The sequence below is a fragment of the Homo sapiens genome, chromosome 14 (genome assembly GCF_000001405.40).
Source record: "Homo sapiens chromosome 14, GRCh38.p14 Primary Assembly".
NCBI lineage: Eukaryota > Metazoa > Chordata > Mammalia > Primates > Hominidae > Homo > Homo sapiens.
This window is the reverse complement of record NC_000014.9, coordinates 68,910,747-68,936,276: the sequence shown is the minus strand read 5'-3', so window position 1 is coordinate 68,936,276 and position 25,530 is coordinate 68,910,747. Positions and strand designations below refer to the sequence as shown.

General features: G+C 49.0%; 1 protein-coding gene across 24 annotated transcripts in view, besides 7 other annotated features; it reads left to right on the top strand.

Moving 5' to 3' along the window:
* Positions 1-25,530, top strand: part of ACTN1 (actinin alpha 1) — a 105,175-nt gene that overhangs the window by 43,026 nt on the left and 36,619 nt on the right. For 23 of the 24 annotated variants that reach the window (NM_001424029.1, NM_001424027.1, NM_001424025.1 and 20 more), the window contains exons 2-4: positions 10,605-10,719; positions 15,152-15,271; positions 24,035-24,121. In NM_001424029.1, the coding sequence (NP_001410958.1) occupies positions 10,605-10,719; positions 15,152-15,271; positions 24,035-24,121 (322 nt within the window). Of the gene's footprint in view, positions 1-10,604; positions 10,720-11,080; positions 11,207-15,151; positions 15,272-24,034; positions 24,122-25,530 lie in introns of all 24 variants that reach the window. The other variant, NM_001424013.1, reaches the window with a different exon arrangement.
* Positions 108-607: an enhancer, noted in NCBI's record as "H3K4me1 hESC enhancer chr14:69402387-69402886 (GRCh37/hg19 assembly coordinates)". NCBI's record gives its function as "activates a minimal SCP1, AML or CMV promoter by ChIP-STARR-seq in naive H9 embryonic stem cells {active_cell/tissue: H9 hESC(naive)}" and the evidence as "EXISTENCE:reporter gene assay evidence [ECO:0000049][PMID:30033119]".
* Positions 608-1,109: an enhancer, noted in NCBI's record as "H3K4me1 hESC enhancer chr14:69401885-69402386 (GRCh37/hg19 assembly coordinates)". NCBI's record gives its function as "activates a minimal SCP1, AML or CMV promoter by ChIP-STARR-seq in primed H9 embryonic stem cells {active_cell/tissue: H9 hESC(primed)}" and the evidence as "EXISTENCE:reporter gene assay evidence [ECO:0000049][PMID:30033119]".
* Positions 2,483-2,993: an enhancer, noted in NCBI's record as "NANOG hESC enhancer chr14:69400001-69400511 (GRCh37/hg19 assembly coordinates)". NCBI's record gives its function as "activates a minimal SCP1, AML or CMV promoter by ChIP-STARR-seq in primed H9 embryonic stem cells {active_cell/tissue: H9 hESC(primed)}" and the evidence as "EXISTENCE:reporter gene assay evidence [ECO:0000049][PMID:30033119]".
* Positions 11,224-11,759: an enhancer, noted in NCBI's record as "H3K27ac hESC enhancer chr14:69391235-69391770 (GRCh37/hg19 assembly coordinates)". NCBI's record gives its function as "activates a minimal SCP1, AML or CMV promoter by ChIP-STARR-seq in naive H9 embryonic stem cells {active_cell/tissue: H9 hESC(naive)}" and the evidence as "EXISTENCE:reporter gene assay evidence [ECO:0000049][PMID:30033119]".
* Positions 11,760-12,297: an enhancer, noted in NCBI's record as "H3K27ac hESC enhancer chr14:69390697-69391234 (GRCh37/hg19 assembly coordinates)". NCBI's record gives its function as "activates a minimal SCP1, AML or CMV promoter by ChIP-STARR-seq in naive H9 embryonic stem cells {active_cell/tissue: H9 hESC(naive)}" and the evidence as "EXISTENCE:reporter gene assay evidence [ECO:0000049][PMID:30033119]".
* Positions 14,830-15,404: an enhancer, noted in NCBI's record as "H3K27ac-H3K4me1 hESC enhancer chr14:69387590-69388164 (GRCh37/hg19 assembly coordinates)". NCBI's record gives its function as "activates a minimal SCP1, AML or CMV promoter by ChIP-STARR-seq in naive H9 embryonic stem cells {active_cell/tissue: H9 hESC(naive)}" and the evidence as "EXISTENCE:reporter gene assay evidence [ECO:0000049][PMID:30033119]".
* Positions 24,282-24,401: an enhancer, noted in NCBI's record as "active region_8631". NCBI's record gives its function as "activates an Ori minimal core promoter by ATAC-STARR-seq in GM12878 lymphoblastoid cells {active_cell/tissue: GM12878}" and the evidence as "EXISTENCE:reporter gene assay evidence [ECO:0000049][PMID:35858748]".

The following is a 25,530-nucleotide window of genomic DNA, read 5'->3' as shown; positions in this document are numbered from 1 at the left end:
GAGACAGAAACACTGAGTATGTTTTGAGTTCATGGAGATGAAATTGTCCCTGGGAAATTTTTTGGCTTTCTTTGAGAGCCCACCAATCAGAATAAACCCTACACAGGAACAAAAGATTGTTGCCGGGTGCTGTTTGGTTGTGTCTTCTCATTAGGCGTGTTCTGATGGGAAAAGTTTCTGGGCTCCAGCCTGCAAGGTAGGAGGGACTTGTTTGCGCTAGCAGAGCTGGAAGGGATTGAAGTGACTTATCTGAGGTCACACGCCTGGCTGAGCCAGGGCAGGTCCCAGGTTTCCTGATCCCATCCTCTGAACACTTAACTCCCCTGGCCTGAATGGTGGCTGGTATTTTTGATTCCGGGAGAGTGGGAGGATGTGCTTGGAAGAGGTGTGGCCAGCACGTGAGTTTGGAGCCTGGGCTGTCCCACCACTGCCCAGCTAGTCTTGTTTGGCTGCAGGTGGGTTATCTTGTTTATTCCACTGTGCAACAAATGGAAAAAGCACCTTTGTCAATGGAGGCTTCTCTGGGGAGGTCAGCCAGAGTGGATGGCCTGGATTGTGTGTTGAGGCTTAAACATCAGAATAGAGCGCTCTAGCCGGGTGTGGTGGCTCATGCCTGTAATCCCAGCACTTTGGGAAGCCAAGGTGGACAGATCGCTTGAGGTCAGGAGTTTGAGACCAGCCAGGCCAACATAGCAAAACCCCGTCTCTACTAAAAATACAAAACTTAGCCGGGCGTGGTGGCACGCGCCTGTAGTCCCAGCAACTCAGGAGGCTGAGGCAGGAGAATTGCTTGAACCTGAGAGGTGGAGGTTGCAGTGAGCTGAGATTGCACCACTGCACTCCAGCCTGGGCAGACTCCTCTCAAAAAAAAAAAAAAAAAAAAAAAAAATGAACAGAGAGCTCTCTGACAGGAGAAGGGAGAGGGAGCAGATCATCATAAAAACCAACCACATTGCCAGGCACAGTAGCTCATGCCTGTAATCCCAGCATTTTGGGAGGCAGAGGCAGGTGGATCACCTGAGCTCAGGAGTTCGAGACCAGCCTGACCAATATGGAGAAACCCCATCTCTACTAAAAATACAAAATTAGTTGGGTGTGGTGGCACATGCCTGTAATCCCAGCTAGTCGGGGGAGGGTAAGGCAGGAGAATAGCTTGAACCTGAGAGATGGAGGTTGCAGTGAGCGGAGATTGTGCCATTGCACTCCAGCCTGGGCAACAAGAGCAAAACTCCATCTTAAAAAAAAACAAAAACAAAGCCCACAACCAACCACATTTACAGACAACTGTAAAACAGCAAAAAATCCTAATCAGTTCAGTTACTGGAGTGCAAGCCCTGTTAGCATTTTGATGTGTTTTGTTTTTAGTCATTTTTTTCATGTTTGTGTGATTGCCCACATAGTTTTAAACTTGCAGTACATACAGTCTTGAATCCTGCTTTTTTTGGTTAATTATATATAAGCAGTTTTTTTCATAGTAACATAGTTTCAGAACCCATCATTTTGGCCATGTAATATTTCATTAAGTGGATGATGAAGCCTAATATACTTAACCTAATACCTTATTAATACAATTTCTGTCTCTTTCTAATTTTTCTCTCTCAAGGAATACTGGCAAGAACATTTGTATGCTTACAGCCTTTGCTTTATATTTAGAATTATTAGTCTTTATTCAGGATGGTGGCCCAGAATTGGGCTAAGGGCTGGTGCCCATCTTAGTTCACCTTGGTGAGTTGCTGTCCATCAGAGTTGTACCAATCGCCTGCCCACAGTAATGTGCCTTTGTCATTGAACCCACCAGCAGTGGAAATGATCAGAAAACTACTTTGCACATGTAATAAGTGACAAATACACCTTTTGAAAATTCACAAGCATGGCAGCATGTGCGTGACATGTCTAACCACAGGCCCTTGTGACAGGTATTGACGTGGGTTCCTCATTGATCCAGCCCCAGGAGAGGCGCGCCCGCTGCCCCTTACGGGAAGTCTTGCCAGCTTTTGCCGACTCCCAGATGGCTGATGTCCCCAAGACCTGTCAGGAGTGTTAACTGTGGTAGGCACAGCTGTCTGCTGCGTGCTTGTTTTAGCATGTCATACATTATTACGTGTGTAACTTTATTAGCAGACTTAGAAAGCTTTCATGTTTTCCCATTGTGAAACTAAAGACCCATTGGGTCTTAATTCACATTTAGCCTGCTGACATTTTTGGGGGGCCTGTGGGATGTCTTATTTTTATATTGTGGCAGCATTTCAAAACTGAGGGAGTCTACATAAAAATCTAGATTTTTTTTTTTTTTTTTCTTGAGACAGGGTCTCACTCTGTCACCCCAGGTTGGACTGTAGTGACACAATCATGGCTCTCTGTAGCCATCATCTCCCAGGCTCAAGCAATCTTCCTGCCTTAGCCTACTGAGGAGCTGGGACTACAGGTGTGTACCACCATGCTTGGCTAAATTTTGTTTGATTTTTTCTGTAGAGATGAAGTTGCCCAGGCTGGTCTCGAACTCCTGGACACAAGTGATCCTTCCACTTTGGCCTCCCAAAGTGCTGGGATTACAGGCATAAGCCACTACACCCAGCATAAGTTCAGATTTCTGTCTCTTCTTCATTGGAGGTGTGGCAGCCAAGGGCCTATGTTCCCATATGAGGCACAGAGGAGCTGCTTCTGCCCCGGGCCACCTCCTGCCGTGATACAGAGGCCGTATTCTAGTTGCCATTGAGTAGCTCTCATGCACCCTAGTATACTTGTATTTCAGGATAGCCATGTTTTCTTCTGGGTAGAAAAACAAAGGATAGCCCAAGAGGGCCACTGTTTCAAGAACAATGCATAAGAATACAGGGAGGTGGCCGGGCGTGGTGGCTCATGCCTGTAATCCCAGCACTTTGGGAGGCTGAGGCGGGCGGATCACTTGAGGTCAGGAGTTTGAGACCAGCCTGGCCAACACGGTGAAACCCCGTCTCTACTAAAAATACAAAAAAATTACCCAGGTATGGTGGTGCTTGCCTGTAATCCCAGATACTCAGGAGGCTGAGGCAGGAGAATTGCTTGAACCCCTGAGGCAGATGTTGCAGTGAGCCGAGATCGCACCACTGCACTCCAGCCAGGGCGACAGAGCGAGATACATCGCAAATAATAATAATAATAAAAAAAATACAAGGAGGTAAGGACTAACTTGTCCTACACTTGACCCCTCCTTGTGCCTTAGTTTCCTCATCTCTAAAGTGGGGAGAATAATACTTGTCCCACAGTGTCATTGTGATGATTCAATGAGTTAAAGGAGGTAAAGCACTCAGGAGAGGATCTGGCGTGTAGCAAATGGTCAATACGTATTAGCTGCTGCTGTTATTACGATCTGTGGCATATGTGTTTGTCTCCTCCAGATGAGGAACTGAGGGGTGAATTTTGCTTGTCATAGCTTGGGGTTGGGCGATGTTACCAGCAACTAGGGTGTGGTCCAGGGGTGCTGCTGAACATCTATGATGCATACAGCAGCTTCCCTGCCCCCACCAAAAAATTTTTCAGACCCCAAATATCAGTAGTACTGAGGTTGAGAAACCTTGCTTAGACCTTGGCGTGTGTGACCCTTGGTCTGACTGAACTCTTCTAACAGGTCTAGACCAGGTGCAGTGGCTCACGCCTGTAACCAGCACTTTGGGAGGATGAGGTGGGAGGATCACTTGAGGCCCAAAGTTTGAGACCAGCCTGGGTAACATAGAGAGACCCAGTCTCCAAGAAAAATTAAAAAAAAAAAAAAAAAAAAAAAAAAGCTGGGTGTATTAGTCAGGGTTCTCTAGAGGGACAGAACTAATGAGATAGATGTATATATAAAGGGGAGTTTGTTAAGGAGCACTGACTCACACACTCACAAGGCGAGCTCCCACAGTAGGCCATCTGCAAGCTGAGGAGCAAGGAAGCCAGTCCGAGTCCCAAAGCTGAAGAACTTGGAGTCTGATGTTTGAGAGCAGGAGGCATCCAGCACGGGAGAGAGATGGAGGCTGGGAGACTCAGCCAGTCTAGTCTTTTCACGTTCTTCTGCTTGCTTTTATTCTGGCTGTGCTGGCAGCTGATTAGATGGTGCCCACCCAGATTGAGGGTGGGTCTGCCTTTCCCAGTCCACTGATTCAGATGTTAATCTCCTTTGGCAACACCCTCACAGACACACCCAGGAATAATACTTTGCATCCTTTAATTCAATCAAGTTGACAATCAATATTAAACATCACACTGGGCATGGTAGTGTGCACCTTGAGTCCCAGCTACTTGGCAGGCTGAAAAAAAAATCCTCTAAACCAACATTTTCAAGGGCTGCCTCAGGCTCTTATAGAGTCAGAGTGATAAAGGACCTTACTTAGCTCAACTGGAGGGGCTGCTTGAATCCCTTCCCCAGTGCCCTTGCCGAGCCCTGCCTTCAGCCGCAGGTAGCACACTGTACAGCCAGCTTGTGGTCTGTTCTTTATTATGTTGAACTCTAATCTTCCCTGAAACTTTCTGTCCTTCATTCTAAGAATAGTAGCTCCCATTTTTGGAGCCTGTGTGTGGGTGATTCTGCTTAGCATTTTCCACGTGCTACTGCAACGATCTTCCCCACCCTGTGAGGTGGTTCTATTACCATCCCCATTTTACAGATGTGGAGATGGAGGCTTGGAGAAGTCAAGTCACATGCACAAGGTCACTCAGTGGATCCAGGTCCATCTTGCCGTAGAATCCACATTCCTCACCATTCCTCACCACTGGCCTATTCTGCCTGGTCTGTACCCAGCAAGTTTACTCACTCATTCATGGAAGGATCTTTAGATATTTGCAGTGAATCCCTCAGCCATCTCATCTCTCCTCCTGGTCATAGAGCCCCAGTTCCCAAAGTTCCCCTCAAAGGGCTGTCTGGTCTGCTTACCATCTGTAATGATCTCTCTTGCCTCTTGACAACACCTGTCTGTCCCTGGGCTCTGCCTCTGTCTGCCAGGCTGCCCCAGAGGGGCTGCCCATCTTCTGCCAACTCTGCTGATGTTCCATCAACTCAGACTCTCTGTGCCAATGCTGGCTGCGGTCCCCTGGATTTCATCTGGTTGGTGTTTTCACTTCACAGTGACCCATTTTCAGTGATACCCTATGAGATTCAGCTTACCTGTTTGACCATTGAGAATCTCAGCCTTGGTTCTGCTGTTCCCTTCCAGCACCCACCCATGCCTGCACCTGAAATCCACGTCATTCGGGTGGAGCAGAAAGTGTGAGGGGCTGGAGGAGTCAGGAGGTTGAGTTGTGAATATAATCCAGCCGTGTGGACTGGGGAAAGCCTCTCACCCTCTCTTTTTTGTGTCCTTAGTCGTAAAGTCAAGGTTTGACTTGGATGGTGCCTAACACCTCTTCTAGCTCTAACATTCTTTTATGAGGTGTGTTAACAGCATAAACTTATAATAATTATACCCCCAATTGTGGTGGCAATAGTAACAATAGATAATTATTGCAGTTGCTATAATTTTCAGTGTTTTAAGTGGACTGTCTCATTGACTCCTCCAATAATCCTCTGGGTAGGTGCTATTACTACCCCCATTTTACAGATGGTGCCTTAAGGCAGAGCCATGTCAAGTCACTTGTCCAGGGTTTACCACCTGCTAGAAGCTGATAGGCCTGGATTTGCAGTCTTCTTTAGAGTGACTAAATCCTTGCATTCCCATGGATACTTTTCTGCAGAGTGATCCGAGTGAATCCCATGGCCCTCCTGCTTTAGGGTCTTGTGATTTACCTCTCCCTCTCCCCATGACCAAGGGTATGAAGGATGCTTGATTGTAAAAGCTCATCCCCTAACTCATGCTTCTGGGGTAATCTTCTGTACCCCAGCTCCTTGCAGAGTGTGATTATTCAGACATCCTTTTAGAATCTAAAATTCAGGCAGTGATGATGACGGTAGGAACTACCACTTTCTGCACACTTACTATATTTCAGACACATTGATACTATATTGTCATTATTCACATAAATTAACAACATTACTATGCTAAAATTATTTACTGAATAAGGGTACTTCCTGTCAGTCATGCCTGGGAGATGCTATTGTCCCCCATTTTACAGACTTGAAAACTGAGGCTCAAAGAGGCCTGTTGTGGCTAAAGAAACATTGCAGTGTGTCTGTCTGAGCTTGGGGGCAGGGAAGGCACGTTCTCAAAAGCCATATTCCTTTCCAACACATTTTAAAGGAAGTATATCACATGATAATTGTGAAAGATGTGACGAAAAGAGGTTAGCGGAGTCTGTGAGAGCAAGGCTATGAGACCTGTACAGAAGGTGGACAATGTGATTCTGTCTCCATGGCCAGCTCCATGGCTCCTAGCCTGGGCTGGGGCCCCTCTGTTGGCGCCTGGCCAGGTCCCTCTTTGCAACCCTGAACTACAGGGCTGGACAGTTGCACTCTCCACCTCCTCAAACCACCTTCAAACTGGATTAGACATGGGCAGTGGCTTCGAGGTCATTGAGAGGCTGAGCAGGGGTCCAGGCTGTTTTGCGGCCCCTCCCTCTGTCCCGGGTCCTCAGAGACTCTGCAGGGCCGGGGCAGGTGGAGTGCAGACAGGGCTGCTGAGAGGGGAACAGGCCGTTGCCGCTGCTCTGCGGGAACATCCCAGTGTGGTCCTTGGTCCCAAGGACTTTTCCTGGGACCTCTCGGCATCCCTGAAGCCATTTCTGGAACGGAGTGTATCCACTGAAGACCTGCCATCCCGGATCTCCTTTGTCAGGCTGTGAGCCTGAGTATGGCCCAAGGAGGTGACTTGAAGATGGCTCTTGGGGTGAGGGGAGGCCAGATAGGGCAGGGCTTCATCGGGCTGAGCAGTAACATGGCCCTGTACCCTTTGTTTGAATGCGGCTGGGCCACAAACCTGCCGGGGTAGCACTCCCCACCACGCTGGGCGTCCAGGCTGGAGGTCTTGGGGCCGTGGGTCTCTAGCATGGGCCTCTCCTGTGGCTTTGACCTTCCTCTCCTTGCTGGACCCCTGGAGCACTGCTAAGGAGCAGGTGCCACCCCCTCATGCTGGAGCTTGAGCCTCAAGACCAAGGCTGCCCCAGGCTGGAGGGGAGGATATAGTTGTATGGTGTGCGTTCAGCTGTCAGACCTCCTCTGCGGAGGTGCACAAGGCCACTGTCAAAATCCCTGGTTTTCTGCACCCACGCCACTGTTCCAGCCCTCTCCCACGAACGCACCACAGTTCCAGCCCTCTCCCACGAACCCGCCACAGTTCCAGCCCTCTCCCACGAACCCGCCACAGTTCCAGCCCTCTCCCACGAATGTGCCACAGTTCCACCCCTCTCCCAGGAACTCACCACAGTTCCACCCCTCTCCCAGGAACTCACCACAGTTCCAGCCCTCTCCCACGAACACACCAGCACCGGTGCAAAAAAGAGCTCGCATGTTGTCATCTTGGAAACAGTACAGCGCGTGGTGGGGTGGGACCTACGACAGGAGAGTTTGGTGGCTGGGGGCAGGGAGAGGATGTGGGGTGGGAGTGCAGAGGAGCAAGAGCAAGTCCTCTGAGACCTGGTCCCGGGATCATTTTGGGGGAGCTAGTCCTGTCATCTTCCTCCTCCCCACTGTTCACTGAGCACTTACTAAATGGCAAGTTTTTTACAGATGTTTTTGAGTTAATCTTTTTAACTTTTATGGAGCGCTGTTACTATCCCTGTTTTACTGCAAAGGGAACTGAAGTTTAGGAAGGTTAATCTGAAGGTCACACAGCCAGTAAATAGTGGATCTGAGAACTGAATCCAGCTCTGATGCGTCCCGAAGTGCATGTTGTTGATCACCGGGTCACAGCCACCATTTCCTCCTCTAGCCTAAACTTTGCGGTGGCTGCTGCTTGTTGGGGAAACTTTCCAGTTTGAGAGGTGCCCAGAGCCCCCTTCAAGGCAGTAATCTATGGGGCCTCTGAGGATTGGGGGTTTTAGTAAAGCCATGTTCCAGGGCTTTGTCCAGGAGACCTGAGCAAACATAGGTGTGTTTTGTTTCCCAGGGCTGAGCCTGGCTTTTCCAGGAAAGGGGGCTGGCTGCTTTCAACAGCACTTTTCCTCTTTCAAAAGCAGTGTCTTTTTACGACAGCAGCCTCTTCCTCCTTTATCTCATCCCAACCCCCTCCACGACTGGGTAGTAAACAGTGAGAATTTATAGCCCCCAGCTGGGCGGGTGGGCTCAGGGCAGTGCCTGCTAGGACCCTGGATGTTTCAGGCCACATTGGACCTGAAAGCATCCCTTCGAGTTGCTGGGGCTGACACAGTTCCCCTCAAGGAAATAGAAAACCTTAGGCTGAAGGTTCAGTGCTGGGGGACTGGGAGTGGGTGCTGGGGATGGCCAAGATGGTGATAAATGAGAAAAGACCACCCACCCCAGTGTCAACGCACACTCAAGTGTGAACGCACAGCTTGAAGACACTGGGCAGACCAGTGTCAGCTGGGAGAGAATGTGCAAAACCAAAGTAAATTATATTTGTTTTAAAGAGTTAAAAATCCTTTAATATTTTTCTACCAATAAAAAGAAGTTAAAATAAGGATAAAGGCTAAAGGCCCTCTCATCTCCTGCAGTGCCAGCAGCGGAGGAAGGATGCTTGGTACATACGCTTCCCTGTCCTGCTGCGTCCTCTTTCCTCCGAGCTGTCTTCTGTGTCCAGGGGGTCCCTAAGAGCACTGTTTGTCCCATCACCCCCTGCCCTGAGAGCATTCAGCCTCACCCACAAGGTGCAGTTGGATCTCCCAGGACCCTCTCAGCTTTGCATCCAGTTCCCCACTTGTTCCTTCACCTGGCTGCCCAATTCTTACGTCCACTAGAATGTCTGCTGCACAGAGGCAGGGACTTTTGCTGTTTAGTTCACTGCTGTGTCCCTGACTCTGTGCCCTGGGTCTCTGGGATATAAAGGTGAACATTGAGTTTCTACCTCCAAGAGCTCCCAGGCTGGGGGTGTGGAGCTGACAAGTGGCTAGGCATAATGGGTGAATGCAGGGTGCTATGGGTGTGTGTCCAGCCCAGACAGAGCAGGTGGCTATCAGGAAGGCTTCCTGGAGGAGGTGATATCTCTACCCAGTCTTGAAAGATGAGTGAGTTAGTTAAGCAAGATAGAGAGGACATTGGAAATCAGTGTATGTCCCCTATCTACCCTGATCTGTGTGCCAGTCTTCCCAGAGCTCTGGGATAGCACAATACGCCGTTTCTCTTCATCATGGGAGTAGGCTGGCCTGCAGAGTGGAGATATGTTTGCAGGGAGAGAGAGGTATTCCATATTGGTAAGTTACTAGTGAGACATGATTGAAAAATTAAGCCCAAAGTCACAGGGTATCATAATGCTGTCCCTTTCTCCCCGCCTGTGTGGAGGGATAGCTTCTGTCCCCCTGTTCCCTTTCTTGTTCATAGGCTCTTCAACTTTTGCTCCTAAATCTAAGCAGCTATTTCTTTTCCCCTGATACTCGCTGGTGTGATGTTCTTCCCTCTTCCTACCCACTTATTGCCACTTCACCTTTAGAGTTCCCCAGGGCAGGAGGAAGGGATTGGGGAGCATGAAGCTGTGACCTTTCCCATGAGGAAGAGTATTTCTAGTGTGGCTCCTACTGTCACATGAATGATACACTGCCCATCCTTTGAATTTTGCAGGGCAGGTGGGAAGAGAGCTGAATGGCTCTGGTGTTGGGTGAGCCCCATGTAATTGGTAGTGCCATTTGGTGCAGAGAAGTCTGGAGTTGCCAATGAATGGTTTAGATCTAAAGCAAGGGAGCTCTTCTCTCTGGTTGCCACAGAGTGGAGACAGCTGGAGAGAGACACCTGTTTTAGATGGACATGTAAAACTGCGATGCATGCTTTTGTTTCTCATGTTTGTTGAGACACCCTCTTCCTGTTTGAGCCACTAGCTGGTGCTGTTGGCACAGGATGGCTTAGTTGCTGCCTCACCTGATCATAATCTGCTTAATAGAGAAGTAACTATGAAGCTGATGGTCTTTGATTTGACCTCCTTACATTCCCTTTCTGGAACTCTTCATGCTTTTGCAGCTTAGGGTGCCCCTATCCCCACCCAAAGCACACACAGATACACATTGGGGTGCTTACTCTTCTCCCTTGTCCTGACACCCTGCATCTGAATTCTGTTCTCAGCAAAACTTACTACTCCTTTCTCTTAGCTGGCTGCCAAGTGAGAAAGGATTTAATATACTAATTTACCCTAAGGTATCAACAGGGCTTAATATGTTCCTTCGGGGTTACTCTGTCTTAAAACTGTGAAGATTGAAACTAAGTCTTATAACTTAAGAGGTAACTTGTAAGAATGGAATTGTGGCATTTTCAAATGTGGGTGGGCATGAGTCTTTGAGAGAGGGCTGGGAGGCGGATGTTAAGGGAATTTGCTGCTTCATGTATCCTGCTTGCTCCCACCCATGTAGCAGGCTCTGTGTAGGGTCCCTCAGCTGCTGCCCTGTGGGTAGCTCAGTGCTTGGTTGATGCAGTGAATGAGACCATGGTGGGGCAACTGTGTTGAGAGGCTCTGCTGAGTAGGTGTCCACCTCCCACCCCCTGGCACCATTAAATGGCTTGTCCAATGAGGGTGACAACACCAGCCCCCTGACCACTTGCCCTTCTTGTCTCTGCCCAGACATTCACGGCATGGTGTAACTCCCACCTCCGGAAGGCGGGGACACAGATCGAGAACATCGAAGAGGACTTCCGGGATGGCCTGAAGCTCATGCTGCTGCTGGAGGTCATCTCAGGTGAGGCGGAACCTGGCCCAGGACGAGATACTGTCTATTGGTGCTGCCTGACACCTTGGCATCTGCTCTGCCTATGAGCGCAGCTGGTTTTGGTCTCTTGAAACAAGTTGGGGATGACATGTATGAATTCATCCTAGGAGCGTGGGTCTGAGTTCTGGTTCTGCTGCCAGCCATCCAGGTGCCTTGGACATTTGTTTCAGCATCCTTGTTTGTTTTAAAAAAAAAAAAAAAAAAAAAAAGGGTTTGAAGGAACTGAGGTTCCTTCTCCTCCCCAGTGCCAGGATTCTGTGGCCAAGAATGTTAACCATGGGTGACTGTCTCCAAATCTTGGCTCCATTACTACTTATCTACCTGTATCCAGGTGACCCAGGCCATTCCCCAGCCCCTGGTTTGTCCAGATGTCTGGAGGGACAGCTCTACTGGAACACACATCTCATCCTGCTTATGAATGCCTTTCTGCCACCATCCCTTAAGGGGTGGGAGTCCTGTGAGTCTAGCCTTGGTTGATACACTGGGCCATGTTAGCTACTCTCTTCACCTTGATGCCGGTGAGCCTTAGACCTAATCCCAGCCCAGCCCTCTCCCTCGAGCCACCTCTGAAATGCTGAACCTCGCTGGGCGTCTCCACCCCAATGTCCCACACAGTCCTCTCAGCATGTCCAAAACTCTGTGCTTGTCACTCCTGCCCTAGCAAACCTCTTTTCCCTCCCAGAGTCCTGTTCTTCTGCACCCAAGCTGGGATCATAGACAGCTCTTCTTTGCAAGTTGTTACTGATGTTCTGTTTATTCTGATTCCTTCTTCTCAGTCCTTCTTTTAACCCCTACTGTTGTGGTGTCAGTGTGGCCTGTGTCAACTCTCACCTAGATGATCCCACAAAGGCCTTTACCCCAGCTCTTCCTGGCAGTCCACCCCTGTCACTGTAGCCAGAGGGCTTGTCCGACAGTCAGTCCAAATATGGTCACACTGTTCCCTCTCACAGCCCTCAGCCCGCGGTGCCTCTCCAGGGCTTTGAGCCTGCAGGCCACATTCCTTAGCATAGCTTATGGAATCCTGCATGAGCTGGCACCTGCTTTGTTTTCAACTAACTATTCCCAAAAAGGTATCAGACCTTCGATCCTCTGCCAGTTGTGGGGTGGGGGCAGGGGGAACGTGCAGCTCTCCCCAGATGACATGCACTTTCTGTTTCCTGTGCCTTTGCACAAGCTCTAACTGCCCTTTTTTTTTAAAAGTAGTTTTTTCTACTTTCAGATAAAACCTGTGTGTGTGGTAAAATAATATATAACAGAAAATGTATCATTTTAGCCATTTTAAAGGGTGCAGTTCAGCGGTATTAAGGGCATGCACTGACTGTTGTGCAGCCATCGCCACCGTCCACCTTCAGGGCTCTTCATCGTCTCAAACTGACACCCTACAGCTGTTCAACACTAGCTCGCCGCTCCCCCCGGCCCTCCCCTGGCAACCACCATTCTACTTTTTGTCTCTGATTTGACTACTCTAGGTATACCTTGTACGAGTGGAATCATACAGTATTTCTCCTTTTGTGACACTGGTTTATTTCACTTACTGTGTCTTCACGGTTCATCCATGTTGGAGCATGTGCCGCCATCCCTTTCCTTTTTATGGCTGAATCGTATTCCATTGTATGTATGACCTACAGCTATAAAATGGCTCCCCACATTTTGTTCATTCACCTGTCGGTGGTCACTTGGGTTGTTTCTACCTTTTGGGTATTGTGAATAATGCTAGGACATGGTTGTACAAAATATTTTTAAAATCCCTCTTTCAGTTCTTTTTTTGTATATTCCCCAAAGTGGAACTGCTAGGTCACATGGGAATTCTCTGTTTAATTTTTTGAGGAGCCACCGTGCTGTTTTCCTCTGCCGTTATTTATTTATTTATTTTCTTTTTTCTTTGAGATAGGGTTCCACCATGTTGGCCAGGCTGGTATTGAACTCCTGACCTCAGGTGATCCTCCCACCTCAGCCTCCCAAAGCGCTGGGATTGCAGGTGTGAGCCACCGTGCCTTGCCTCTAACTGCCTTTTAGAATGTCCCTGCTTCCTACCTCCTCCACTACCCTTCCCCAGTTTTAAACAAATCTGGCCTTACAATTTATCATTCTTCAAAATGCAGCTTGAGGGTGTCCTTCAAGAAGGCTTCACCCTTCCTCTCTCCCCTAATCTGAGTGGACTGTGCCCTGCCCGCACCACCCCCCTACCTGCCCAGCTCCCCAGCACCTATAATACCCCATTAATTCCTCTGCTGTGTCTTTTATCACAAAGTGTAGTCATTTTCGGTTCGCTTGTTTTCTTCTCTGCTCCACACTGAGCTCCTTGGGGCAGGTCATCTTCTCTCTGTGTCTCAGGTGCTTAGAACAGCACCAGACATGTAGGCGGTGCTCCGGGAACATTAGAATGACTGAGTGCCCAGAGCCGGGCTTGTCCTCATGATACCCAGTGTGTTCCTGCTGCATAGGTCTGACGTGTGCCCAGGGGACCTGTGCATTTCTGTGAAGCATGTGTCTCTTTGCCAGGGTTGGGAAAGATCTGTTCTGTGAAATGATCTGTTCTCCCCTGGACAGGAAATGCTGGGATACCTTTTTCTCCTGATCATCGTTGGAGATGGGTAGGGTGCCCCAGGATGAGGAGAAGGAGGGGTATGCTGCCTACAGAGGTTCTCAAAGTGTGGTCCTTGGACTACCCACACCAGAATCGGCAGGATTGCCTGTCAAAATGCAGATTTCCAAACCTTAACCCAGTCCTCCTAATCACAAACTTAGTGAGAGGGGGAAAGGGGCTGGACAGCCACAGATTAGCCAGTTCTCCAGGTGATTTTGTGCTGACTGACGTTTGAGAACCACTGGCCCAGGCCTGGGAAGCTTTTTCCATTCTCCCGTGTTTAACCCTTGCCTCCTCCACTGTCCTTTGCAGAAGCCCCCTTCCAGCCAGTGTGCACAGCTGCTGAATGGCTGGGGCACTCCGCTTAGCTGGACAGGCCCCAAGGGCTGGGGCTGTAACAGGAGCAGCCTTCCAGGGAGGGGACGTGGTGCTGCCTGCATCCATCCTGTGGGGAGGGAGCCTCTGTGCCATCTCCCCCCGGACAGGAAATACTGGGGTACCTTGCTGGGTTGCAGCCAGAGCCTTGGGAGGGCCCCAAGTGGAAAGTCTTGATTTAATTTAAAAAACAGCTGTGCTTCCCTGGGAGCTGACAGCCAGATCCCATCTGTGGCAGGAAGTCTGCCGTCTTCCAGAAGCTAGCAGGCTGCTGGGAGGCCACCTGGAGAGGTGCTGCTCTGACAGGGTGGGCCTGGCCCAGAATCCCCGTGGCTGGTCCCTGGAGTCCTCGCAGCCAGATTGTCGACCTGCTGGGGAGACAGTGGGTGTGGTCGGGATATCAGGGCAGGCACAAGGGGCCTGAATTCCAGGCTCTGCGATGGTGGTTCTCAGCCTTTTGGGGTCCTTGGCCCCTTAGAGACCCTGAAAGCTATATACCCCTTCCCTAGGTATGGCTCTATGCTGCACTTAGAAAATTCTCAGATCATTTCAGGAGGCCCCTGGATGCTCTTTGTTCTGGAATAAAAGTGCTGTTAATGGGGTATTTGGAGAGCCAGCTCCTCTACCTTTATTTTCTCAAAGGTTCTGACCTTGAAACCTGAGCAGCAGAAGCTACTGTGTGGAATCTGGAGGTGGGGGTGGAGGGTTGACCTGGAGCTGAGCCCTGGGTGCCCACAGGAGGCAGCATAATAGGACAAGAACTGTGGTTCTCAGATGGGGATGGGCTGCTATAGGCAACTCCATTTAAACACCAGGGAAGTCCATAATACTTGAGTGACCTATACCCTCCTCCCAGGGCAAAGGGAAGGCTAGAAGGAGTTCAGGGCCTTTGCATGTACTGTTCCTTCTGCCTTGATCATCATTCCTTGCTTTGTTTGCCTGGCTGCAAAGACTCAGACCTTTCCTGACCACTCCTCAGTTCCTCCTTCCTCTTCCTCCTCCTCTTTTGAAGAGCATGGATCTTTCTTTGTATTTGTTCATTGTATATATTTATTTGTGTTTCTCTATTTAAGGTCTGTCTCTCCTACTGGACTGTAATTACATAAAGGCAAGAAACTGTTTTGTTCACCCCCCTATTCCTAGCACCCAGCCAAATCCCTGGCATGCGGTAGGGGCTCGATAAATAAATGTTGAGTGGATGCAAGCAGATTTCGACCTGAGAAGCAGAAGAAAGAAGAGGCAGGGTAGATTCTCCCTCTCATTCCCTGCCAGGGTGACATTCTCCAGCCCCTGAGCAGCGTGTGAGCACACACACACGTGCACACATGCACATGCTTCTGCCTAGCTAAGCTGTGCTTTGGATGAGGGTGTAGTGGTAGTAGCTCTGGCCCCTGGCTCATAGCGTCTCACCTTCCTCTTCCTCCCTCTTGATCCAAACAGGTGAACGCTTGGCCAAGCCAGAGCGAGGCAAGATGAGAGTGCACAAGATCTCCAACGTCAACAAGGCCCTGGATTTCATAGCCAGCAAAGGCGTCAAACTGGTGTCCATCGGAGCCGAAGGTAAGGCCTACCTCTGGTGGCCCCAAGGAGCCTGATTTTCTTTGTCCCCCTGGTTCTCTTGGCCTTTTTTGTGCTGCCTCCTGGGCCCATGCATCACTTGGGGGCATTGGGCAGTGGGTCCCCAGCACCTCCATCTGGTCGCCTGTGGAGGCTTTGTATTGCAACAGCGCTTTTCTTCTAGTCTCAGCCCTGCCCAAAACCAAGGACTTAGACCCCTGTTCCCATGCCTGCACCTGCTTAGCCACGTCCTTGCTCTGTGGAGTCCTGTGTGTGTGGCATGCCACCTCCCCCATCCAGAGGCCTGACTGCACGGTGTTGCCTGGAGCAGAGGATTTGTGTATGGGCTGGAAAGGGTGTGCAGACACAGGCTGGTGGAGGCTGGAGGCTGCCCCGAGACTCCCCGGGGCCCTGGGAAGACTGAAGTCCCGAAGCCTCTAGGAACATTTTTAATAGCATTTCCCTGCAGTGTAGCTTCCTAACTCTTTAACTTTTACTTAGAAACACTTACCAAAAAAGCTATTAGCATTTCCTTAATGATTAAAAGAAGGTAGTGTAATTTCTTGTGTGCATGGTGGTGGCTCTGAAAAATTGAGAGTGGGTTGTTTAGAGTGGGCAGAAAATGTTCTATCCAGGCCCCTTCAGTCCTGTGACCATGGATTTAGCAAGTATTTATGGGGCACCTGCTGCGTGATGTCAGAGACCTAAAGATGAACGAATCTCACTCATTCAAGACACATCGTGGCTGTGAGAATGGATTGCTCACTCTGTGGCATATACTTAATCCTCACAACAACCCTATGAGGTAGCTCTAAGAATTAATTATCCTGATTTTGCCATAAGAAAACAGATGCTTAAAGAGATTACGTGACTTCCTCAAGGTTCCGCCATCAGTAAGTGGCAAAGCCAGAACTCAAACGCAGGTCTTCGTGACACCAGAGGAATGCCCTGAGAGTGGCCTTCCCTTGGAGGGGGCAGGGGTCTTGCTCCTGGGAAGTCCATAGGAGCAGATCTCTTCTCTGGTTGAAGCTTACAGTCCCCTCTCTTCTAGAAATGGAGGGATATTTATCAAATGGAGAACTTTAACACAGGCTCAGCAAACTGCAGTGCATGGGGTCGAGTCCGGCTGATTTGGATTTTTGGAAATATTGGAACACAGCACACCGGTGTTAATGTATCATCAGTGGCTTTGTGCTGCAATGACAGAGTTGAGTAGTTGCTACAGAGCTTATATGGATCATAGAGCCAGAAACATTTCTTATCAGGCCCTCTACAGAAAAAGTTTGCTCACCTCTGCCTTATCTGGAATTCAGGCCAGTGCCCAAGGTGGTCACGCAAGGTGCCTTATGGATTCCAGCATCTCCCCCACCAGCTGTGAGCTTCTCAAAGGCAGAAACCTTGGTTTCTACATCCTGTGGCCCCAGTTCCTAGCAGCATGATGCACACAGTAGGTGCTCAATACATGTTAAAAGGATTTACATATAGCAGTATAATCTGCTTTGTGATGAGGAAGATGTTCTCTGCCTTATAATAAGAAAAGAACAGTTTGCTTTATTAGGGAGCAATTCAAGACTTGGCAGAAAAAGTTATAACTAAGCAGGCGTGGGAAGCCAAAGAAAGTCACCCAGGTGGTTAGTGCAGGCTCGGATGCCCCTGGGGCAGGGAAGTGTAGAGAATTTGTGAAGTGGTTCAGGGGTCAGTGGCAGGGGTGGGTAGGGACCGTGGCAAGCTAGAGAGTCATGTCCTAAGCGGGATGGGCACCTTGTGGATGTAAGAAGTTGCTGCTGTGTGGATCCAGTGCTGCTAGATCTTCCAGTTTTTCAAAAGAAGCCAGAAATCCAGATTTTTTGAAAAGAAAAATTTGGCAACTAAATTTAAAAAAATAACTTGTTTGCTCTTTAAAGCCTCTACCAAAGGGGAGGAGGGCAGGGAAGGGGAAGGTGGAAGAGAATAGCACTCACCGAGTACCCGCTCTGTGTTGCTAGACAGGGTGCTTTACGTGGGCCATCTCCTGCTACACTCATGATGGGCTCGTAGGATGGGTATCACCAGCCACGTTTTACAGTTAAGGAAACTGAGGCTCAGAAAAGTTGCTAGAGTGGAAGAGTGTCATCAGTTGAGCCCAGGCTCTGAGCCAGACTGCTTCTATGTGGCAGATCCAGGGTTAAACCCAGGGGTAGGCTCCAGAGCTGAGGCCTTCCTCTTCCTGTTACTGTCGGCAGTGCTGCCTCCCCAGTCAGAGCCCAGGACAGAACTTTCTTTTCTTTTTTTTTTTTTAGTAGAGATGGGATTTCACTGTGCTAGCCAGGATGGTCTCTATCTCCTGACCTTGTGATCCGCCCGCCTCGGCCTCCCAAAGTGTTGAGATTACAGGTGTGCGCCACCGCGCCTGGCCTAAGATCTGAAACTTCTTTTTTTTTTTTTGAGACGGAGTCTCACTCTGTCGCCCAGGCTGGAGTGTAGAGGGGCGATCTTGACTCGCTGCAAGTCCGCCTCCCAGTTTGACGCCATTCTCCTGCCTCAGCCTCCCGAGTAGCTGGGACTACAGGCGCCCACCACCACGCCTGGCTAATTTTTTTTTAAATATTTTTAGTAGAGACGGGGTTTCACCGTGTTAACCAGGATGGTCTCGATCTCCTGACCTCGTGATCCACCCGCCTCAGCTTCCCAAAGTGCTGGGATTACAGGCGTGAGCCACCGCGCCCGGCCAGAACTTTCACATCGAATTGTCTTCAGTACTGAGATGGCAGATCAAGCCTGCCCCTGCCATGCTGGCCTCAGGGGTGAGGAGTGAGAGGAACACTGGCGTGAACTCTCATCTCACTGCTGCTGCTGTGCTGGGAAGGTCATTCACCTGGCAGCCTCAGTTTTCCCGTTTCCTTTGACGCAGGCCTAGCTTCTCTAAAGATTTTGAAAAGGCTCCTTTATTTTTTATTTTTTGAGACAGGGTCTCACTCTGTTACCCAGACTAGAGTGCAATGGCACGATCTTGGCTCACTGCAACCTCCACCTCCCAGGCTCAAGTGATTCTTAATCTGCTTCAGCCTTCCAAGTAGCTGGGATTACAGGTTTGTGCCACCACGCCTGGCTAATTTTTGTATTTTTAGTACAGATGGGGTTTCACTATGTTGGCCAGGCTGGTCTTGAACTACTGACTTCAAATGATCCGCCAGCCTCAGCCTCCCAAAGTGCTGGGATTACAGGCGCAAGCCACCACGCCCCGACGAAAAGTTCCTTTAAAGTGAGACGTTCTTTACCTTCTCCCTGCCCTGAGGAGCCAGTGTTTTCAGCTGTGGCTTCCAGGAGTGAAATCATCCACTCCCATCAGGCTGAGCACCAAGATTATGCCACAATGGCCGCTCTGCTGAGCCAAGAAACTAGATGAGGCAGCAAATGGCGTTTTGTGGGCTTTTAAAAGTGAAATGGAGTTTATTGATGTCGATTATAAAATAAAAGGCGATGGGCAGATGGCATAGAATGAGCTCTCCTGGAAGGGGAGCGGGGGAACGTTGCAGGTTGTCCATCCTGGGCTGCTGAAGGCTGTGACTGTGGAGACCAGGCCCAGCAGGGACACCCCTCACCCCCCACCAAAGTCTTTGAAGGATTATCATGCAGTGCAAGGACTAAGACCTCTGGCTGACTCCGAAGGGCAGAACCAGGCCCAGAATAGGTACCCTGTAGGTAGGTGGACTCTGGGAGCCTTGGGAAATGGAGCCGGGGCTCTGGGAGGGTTATGAGTTCCCTGTCCCTGAAGGTGTGCACATGAAGGCTGGAGACAAGGAGCTTCCACACATAAAGGGGAGGTTAGAGCAGATCCTTAAGGTCTCCCCTACGATATTTGGTTCTAGAATGCATAGACTTCATGGAATTGGCCTGGGTGAGTGGTTGGAATGTAGTTAACCAGGGGAGAGAACTCAAAAAGGATTTTGTATTTTAAGGTCTTTGGGCAGGTGGAGCCTGAGGGTTTGGGTGCTGTGAGCATGGAGGTGGGCTCAGTGAGGTAGCATGTATCTTTAGGATGGAGGGGGCGGTGGGTGCCATACCACAGCATTGGTCTGGGAGGTGGTGGCCCCTGGGGTTCTAGTTTCTGTCACATGGAATTTCTGCAGCATTCATTCTGCCGTCTGAATACTGAACAGATGACGGTGTCCCTGGAGAGAGAAGGAGGGAGAAACATGTTCCCAGTAAACAGGGGATGTGAGCAGCTTCATAGCTCGCTGTAGACCAAGAAGGTCTACATTACAGACGCTGTTAATCTGTCACCAAGGTTTTTCCACAAAGCCCAGTTGTGGCCTTGGAACCCTCCCTTTGGGGCCAGCCTTCTAAGCAGTCCCTGACATAAAGCTGCCTGAGAGATGAGGCACCCCTGCTGCAAACGTTGAGAAGCCGGAGGCCCGGTATACAGGACCTGCCATGCCAGGGAAGGGGAAGGAGAGTGGATGGGATGGGAGTCAGGTGGGAACTGGGGCTGGGCGTGCATGGGCTGCTAATTAAGCACGCCCTACTCTCTATGCTCGTGCTTGGCGCCTCTGTTTTCTGGAGTGAAACTATGCCTTTGGTGTGAATGAGAATTCAGTAAGCAAAATTCTCTGGGGAGTTTCTGGGGAAGAAGAAGAGGAATAAGTAGGCAAGACCCTAAAAAGAAGCCACCTGCCTCTCCCAGTCCCTCCGGGAGGACTCCAAGAGGGCAAATCTGCAGGCAGTGAGCTCAGGGCCAGCGGGAGGCCCTGGAGTTTGGCCGTCACAGAGTGGGGCAGCATGTGGGGGACCAAGGGAGGGCTAGCATTGCAGCCCCACTCCTAGGAAGGCCAAACCATGGGATTACCACTCAGAGCTTTTTTCTAGGCTTAAAAAATTTTTCCCTTATATTTTAAACACTGTTTATGAAATTTTTTACCTGCTTTTCCCACTTCCCATGCTAAAAAATTTTTCTAAGTTATTAAGCACTCATAAGCATTAATGTCTGCGTTCATTGTCTTTTTTGTTTTGTTTTTTTGAGATGAGTCTCGCTCTCTTGCTTAGTCTGGAGTGCAGTGGCACGATCTCAGCTTACTGCAACCTCCGCCTCCCGAATTCAAGCGATTCTCCTGCCTCAGCCCCACGAGTAGCTGGGATTGCAGGCATGTGCCACCACATCTGCCTAATTTCTGTTTTAGTGGAGACGGGGTTTCGCCATGTTGTCCAGGCTGGTCTTGAACTCCTGACCTCAAGTGATCTGTCCCACCTTGGCCTCCCAAAGTGCTGGGATTTCAGGTGTGAGCCACTGCGTCTGGCCTCATCATCTGTTTGTCGTACTTCGTCCCAGGCCTGGGCCCTGCCCTGGAAGAGACTGAGGTCCATTGTGTTCTCAGGGGGCCAATGGCAGGCCTGTGTTAGCTCTGCCCATTCCCCCACTTGTGGTTAGTGTTTGTTCACTCATTCGTTCACTCAGCAGATGCTGATGGGGGCTTTGCCTGTGCCAGGCTTCATACTGAACTCTAAGCAGTGATGCAAAACAGGAAGTATTCTTACCCTCAAGGGGCTTACATTCTAGAGGGGAAAGAGAGAAAATACACATGTACACCTGTCAGATGGAGAAAACCAAAGCAGGGAGGAACTTGGGTGGTCAAGGGAGGTGTCCATGAGAAGGGGACGTGTGAGTGAAACTGGCAGGAGGCAGGGACAGGCCACGTGGGTATCTAGGGAAGGGGAGCTGCAGGGAGGCCCGAGCAGGGGGGACGGGGAGGAGGAGGAGGAGAAGGAGGGGAAGAAGGAGCAGGGGGAGGAGGGGGAACAAGAGGCCCAGGCGGCCAGACCACGAGGGCCTCTCTGGCCACTGGCTTTGACTCTCAGGGAGGTGGGAAGCTGTGGAGGTTTTTTAGCAGAGGGTGATATGGGGTCTGGGGATTTACTTGGTCATTCTGTGTACTGTGTACCTTTGCGAGGTTTCTAAGTACGGGGTGTGATAAATAGCCTTGCAGCAAGTGCATTCATTCAGGAACCTTACTCTGCATTTCCTTTCATTGGCTAGGGATAGATTCCTGGAGATAAAATTATACTGCCAAAAAGCTGAGCAACTGTAAAATGCGTGCTCCTTGTGGCCAAATTATTTCCCAGATTAATTGATTAATTTCCCAGAAATTATTATTATTGTTTTTTAAACCAATTTACACTTCTAGTGTGGTGGCCTTGCTGACATCAAGGCGTGTGGTTTTCAACTTTGGGTTTTTTTGTTTGTTTTGTTTTGTTTTGTTTTTAAGAGACAGGGTCTCAACTTGTCGCTTAGGTTGGAGTGCAGCGGTGATATCACACAGCTCACTGCAACCTTGAGCTCCTGGGCTCAGTCCCCAGTCCTCCTGCCTCTGCCTCCCAAGAAGCTAGGACTACAAGTTTGCACCACTGCACCTGGCTAATTTTTTCATTTTTTTGTAGAGACAAGGTCTCCTATGTTGCCCCGGCTGGTCTTGAACTCCTGGGCTCAAGCGATCCTCCCACCTTGGCCTCCCAAAGTGCTAGGATTAAAGGCATGAGCTACTTCACCCAGCCTAACTTTGTTTTTTAACTTTGCTAATTTAATAGCTGGGAAGGTGATCTTATTTCTTTGATTACAAGTGAGATTGAACATTCTTGTGAATTGGTTATTTGTATTTCATGTTTTATGATTTTTTTGTCTTTTGCCTATTTATTGAGAGTTTAGTATTTTTCAATTGTCTTTTCAATTGAGATGAACTCTTTAAACCATTGGAAATAACAAATGAAAGTGCATTTTTTAAAATATCAAAGATTTATGAGCCGATTCCTTTACTTTTTTATTTTATTTATTCATTTTTTTAGAGAGGGTCTTGCTTTGTTGCCCAGGATGGATTCACAGCTCACTGCAGCCTCTGCCTTGGCTCAAGCAATCCTCCCACTTAAGCCTGAGTAGCTGGGACTACAGGCACTACCATGCCTGTTTAATTTTTGTATTTTTGTAGAGATGGGGTTTTGTCATGTTGCCCAGGCTGGTCTTGAACACCTGGGTTCAAGCAATCCACCTGTCTTGGCCTCCCAAAGTGTTGGGAGTACAGGCTCGAGCCACTGTGCCAGGTCTATGAGTTGATTCTTGATGAGTAGTACTACCTCCCCACAATGTGGACTGCAAAATGCTGGCTGGCTGTGTTGCTTGGTAGCAAAAGGGGTTGCATGCTGCTCAGCTCTCTGTTTCTCTCCAACCCAAGCATTTGGATGTGGGACTGTGCCCCGCCTGGTGTCTGGGGCTCTGGGAGGGGCATTTTTACTTCCCTGTTTACAAGAAGGGTTACATCCTATTCCAAGTCCAAAGTGGACACTTGTTCCTTTGCTCAGCATCCCATGCAGACTCAGCAGGTTACCCGCTCCCCTGGGAGGTGGCTGTGGCCAAGCACTGCTCCATGGACTACACCCGGCTGGTCATGGAACAGCATACAGTTTTGCCCTCACTTTTGGGAAAGGGGCTAAGATGTTAGAGTATACCATCCTTAATGGAAATCCACTCTTGTTTCAGGGGTTTGTGGGATGCAAATCCTAGTAGGGTCAGAACTGCCTAGAAATTGATCCTTCTCATGGTTCTATTGGGTCTCCCCTAAAATTAATGTTGCAGGTAGGAAAAAAAAAGATATTCTTTGGGTACCTTACTCTTAACTGAGCGTGTCTTACCATGGGCCGGATTACTATCTCCTGGTCTGGAAGCAGGTGATGAGTGGGTGTGGAATCTACATTTGAGTATCACTTGTTCAACCACAAGACCATAGATTGCTCCATGTATTGGGCTCCTTAAAATAGGGCTTATTTATGTTGTATTCCCTGCCATTAGGCCTGGTACAGAAAAAAAGAGAAAATCTACTTCATAGAACTTGTAGATTCTAAAACTCTAAAAGGTGCTGCTTAGACTAAATATATTGGGTTATCTCTTAGCTGTGATCTTGAAGCTATTGTTTGATTTTTTAAAAAAACATCTGTTTTAATACCCAAACTGATGGCATTGTGAGATTGAGTCAGTGGATAGTTCAAGATGGCAATTTACAAAACTTTAAGTTTGTGACTTTCTCTTGATTCCACTGTTTTTCCACGTGTGGGTGGCTATTTTGAGAGCTGTGATTGCCCAGAGAGCCCCAGCTCACAGAATTGCCAGAACATTTGTGATTGCTTAGAAATCCTCCCCTCTTCATCAGGCTGGGAACACAGATCAGGATTTCAAATGCCCCCTTCTCTGTGGCCTTCCCTGATGTACCCACTGTCTCCAACTAGGATTGATTACACCCTTTTTTTGTGCCCCAAATAGACTTCTCTTCCAGCACCTGTCACAGTTTATTGCATTAACTTTAAGAAACATCCAGGCCAGGCATGGTAGCTCATGCCTGTAATTCCAGCACTTTGGGAGGCTAAGGTGGGAGGATCGTTTGAACCCAGGAGTTTGAGACCAGCCTGGGCAATATCGTAAGACCCTGTCTCTACAAAAAATGAAAAAATTAGCCGGGTGTGGTGGCCTATCTGTAGTCCCAGCTACCCAGGAAGGTGAGATGGGAGGATCGCTTGAGCCCAGGATTTGGAGGCTGCAGTGAGCCATGATTGCACCACTGCACGCTAGCTTGGGTGACAGAGCGAAAACCCTGTCTCAAAAACAAGCAAAAATCCTGTTTCCCTCTAGAAGTAGAGCTCTGGAGTCTTTTGATTCCTAGCGTGGGGCATGGAGTGCTGTGGGTGCTGAGGGAGTGTTAATTCTGTCCCCGCTGAGGCCCTTTCTGATGTGTGCTGCTGCTGTTTCTGTAGAAATCGTGGATGGGAATGTGAAGATGACCCTGGGCATGATCTGGACCATCATCCTGCGCTTTGCCATCCAGGACATCTCCGTGGAAGGTGGGTTTCTGCTTTGTTCCATCCCGCCATCACCATCTCGTCTCCCTCCCTGGGCTTAGCCTGGAGAACTCCCATACCCAGGGCAACGGACGTTGATCAGGGGCCATGTCCTGGGCTTCTTGCTCATTTATTGGGCATCAGCCTTCTCCTCCAGTCAATGTAGAAAAAAGAACTGTTTGCCATTCTGATTCTCATAGGCATGTTGGCCTCAGGGAAACTCCCCACTTTGGGAAAGCCCAAGGCTGCCATGGGGAAGTATATTGGAAAACCCACCTGGCTCTTGGGTTGTTAATCTGAAAGGGTGGGGAAATAGCGGCTGGGAGGAAGGACCAGGAGGGGCGCTAACCCCGTCCTCCACTTTGCTCCCCTAGCACCCTCTAGTGGCCATTTCACAGATCTGCAAGGGCCGCCATGGTCTGGAGAGGTGATCTCTACGCTTGATTCCACACTCGGGCAGTTTTTGAGCTTTATGTCTGCTATGCCTGTATTTATCTTGCATAATAATATTTGTGTATTGTTGTGCCTGTGATAAAACACACATACTGAAACAAACTTTTACAAGATGAGATGGAGATACTATTTTTTAAATATTTGTTTTAATGGCATAGACATCATAAACATTTTTAATCAAAGGAATTTCTTAATGAAAACAACGTGGATTCAATTCAATTGCTTTGTGATGGAGATCTAGGTGTGACACTCTGTGATGCAGCAATGTAGAGTTCCAAGTTCGGTTTATGGGTACTTGGTATTTAGGGTTGAAGTGGTTGGAAAGAGGGTCATAGTAGTCACCTGGGGTGTGGTTCTTGTTAATGATAGTGGATGTAAATCCATTTCTCAAATAGCCTTCTTGATGATTTTGATTCTTTTGGGTGGACTTCTTGTCAGCTCTGCAGTCATCATTGTGTTACTCTTGTGATTTAGCTGACGAAGAGCTTAAGCTAAGTAGAAGCATTAGCTTTTCCAATTTTTAAATTGTCTGCTTTTGCTTAGGTGGTTATGGTCTTTGTAGGAACCCTTGAATGTCATTTTAAAGTCCATTTTGTGTGTTGAAAATAAATGAGATCATTCATGAACACAGTCCACTGAGTACCTTAACCTCCAATTCACAGGCACAAACACAGGGTGTATTAGTCCGTTTTCACGCTGCTGGTAAGGACATACCCGAGACTGGGTAATTTATAAATAAAAAGAGGTTTAATGGACTCACAGTTCCACATGGCTGGGGAGGCCTCACAGTCATTGCAGAAGAGCAAGGGAGAGCAAAGGGACCTCTTACATGGCAGCAGGCAGAGAATGAGAGCCAAGTGAAAGGGGTTTCCCCTTAGAAAACCATCAGACCTCGTGAGACTTATTCACTACCACGAGAACAGTATGGGGGAAACCACGCCCACGACTCAATCATCTCC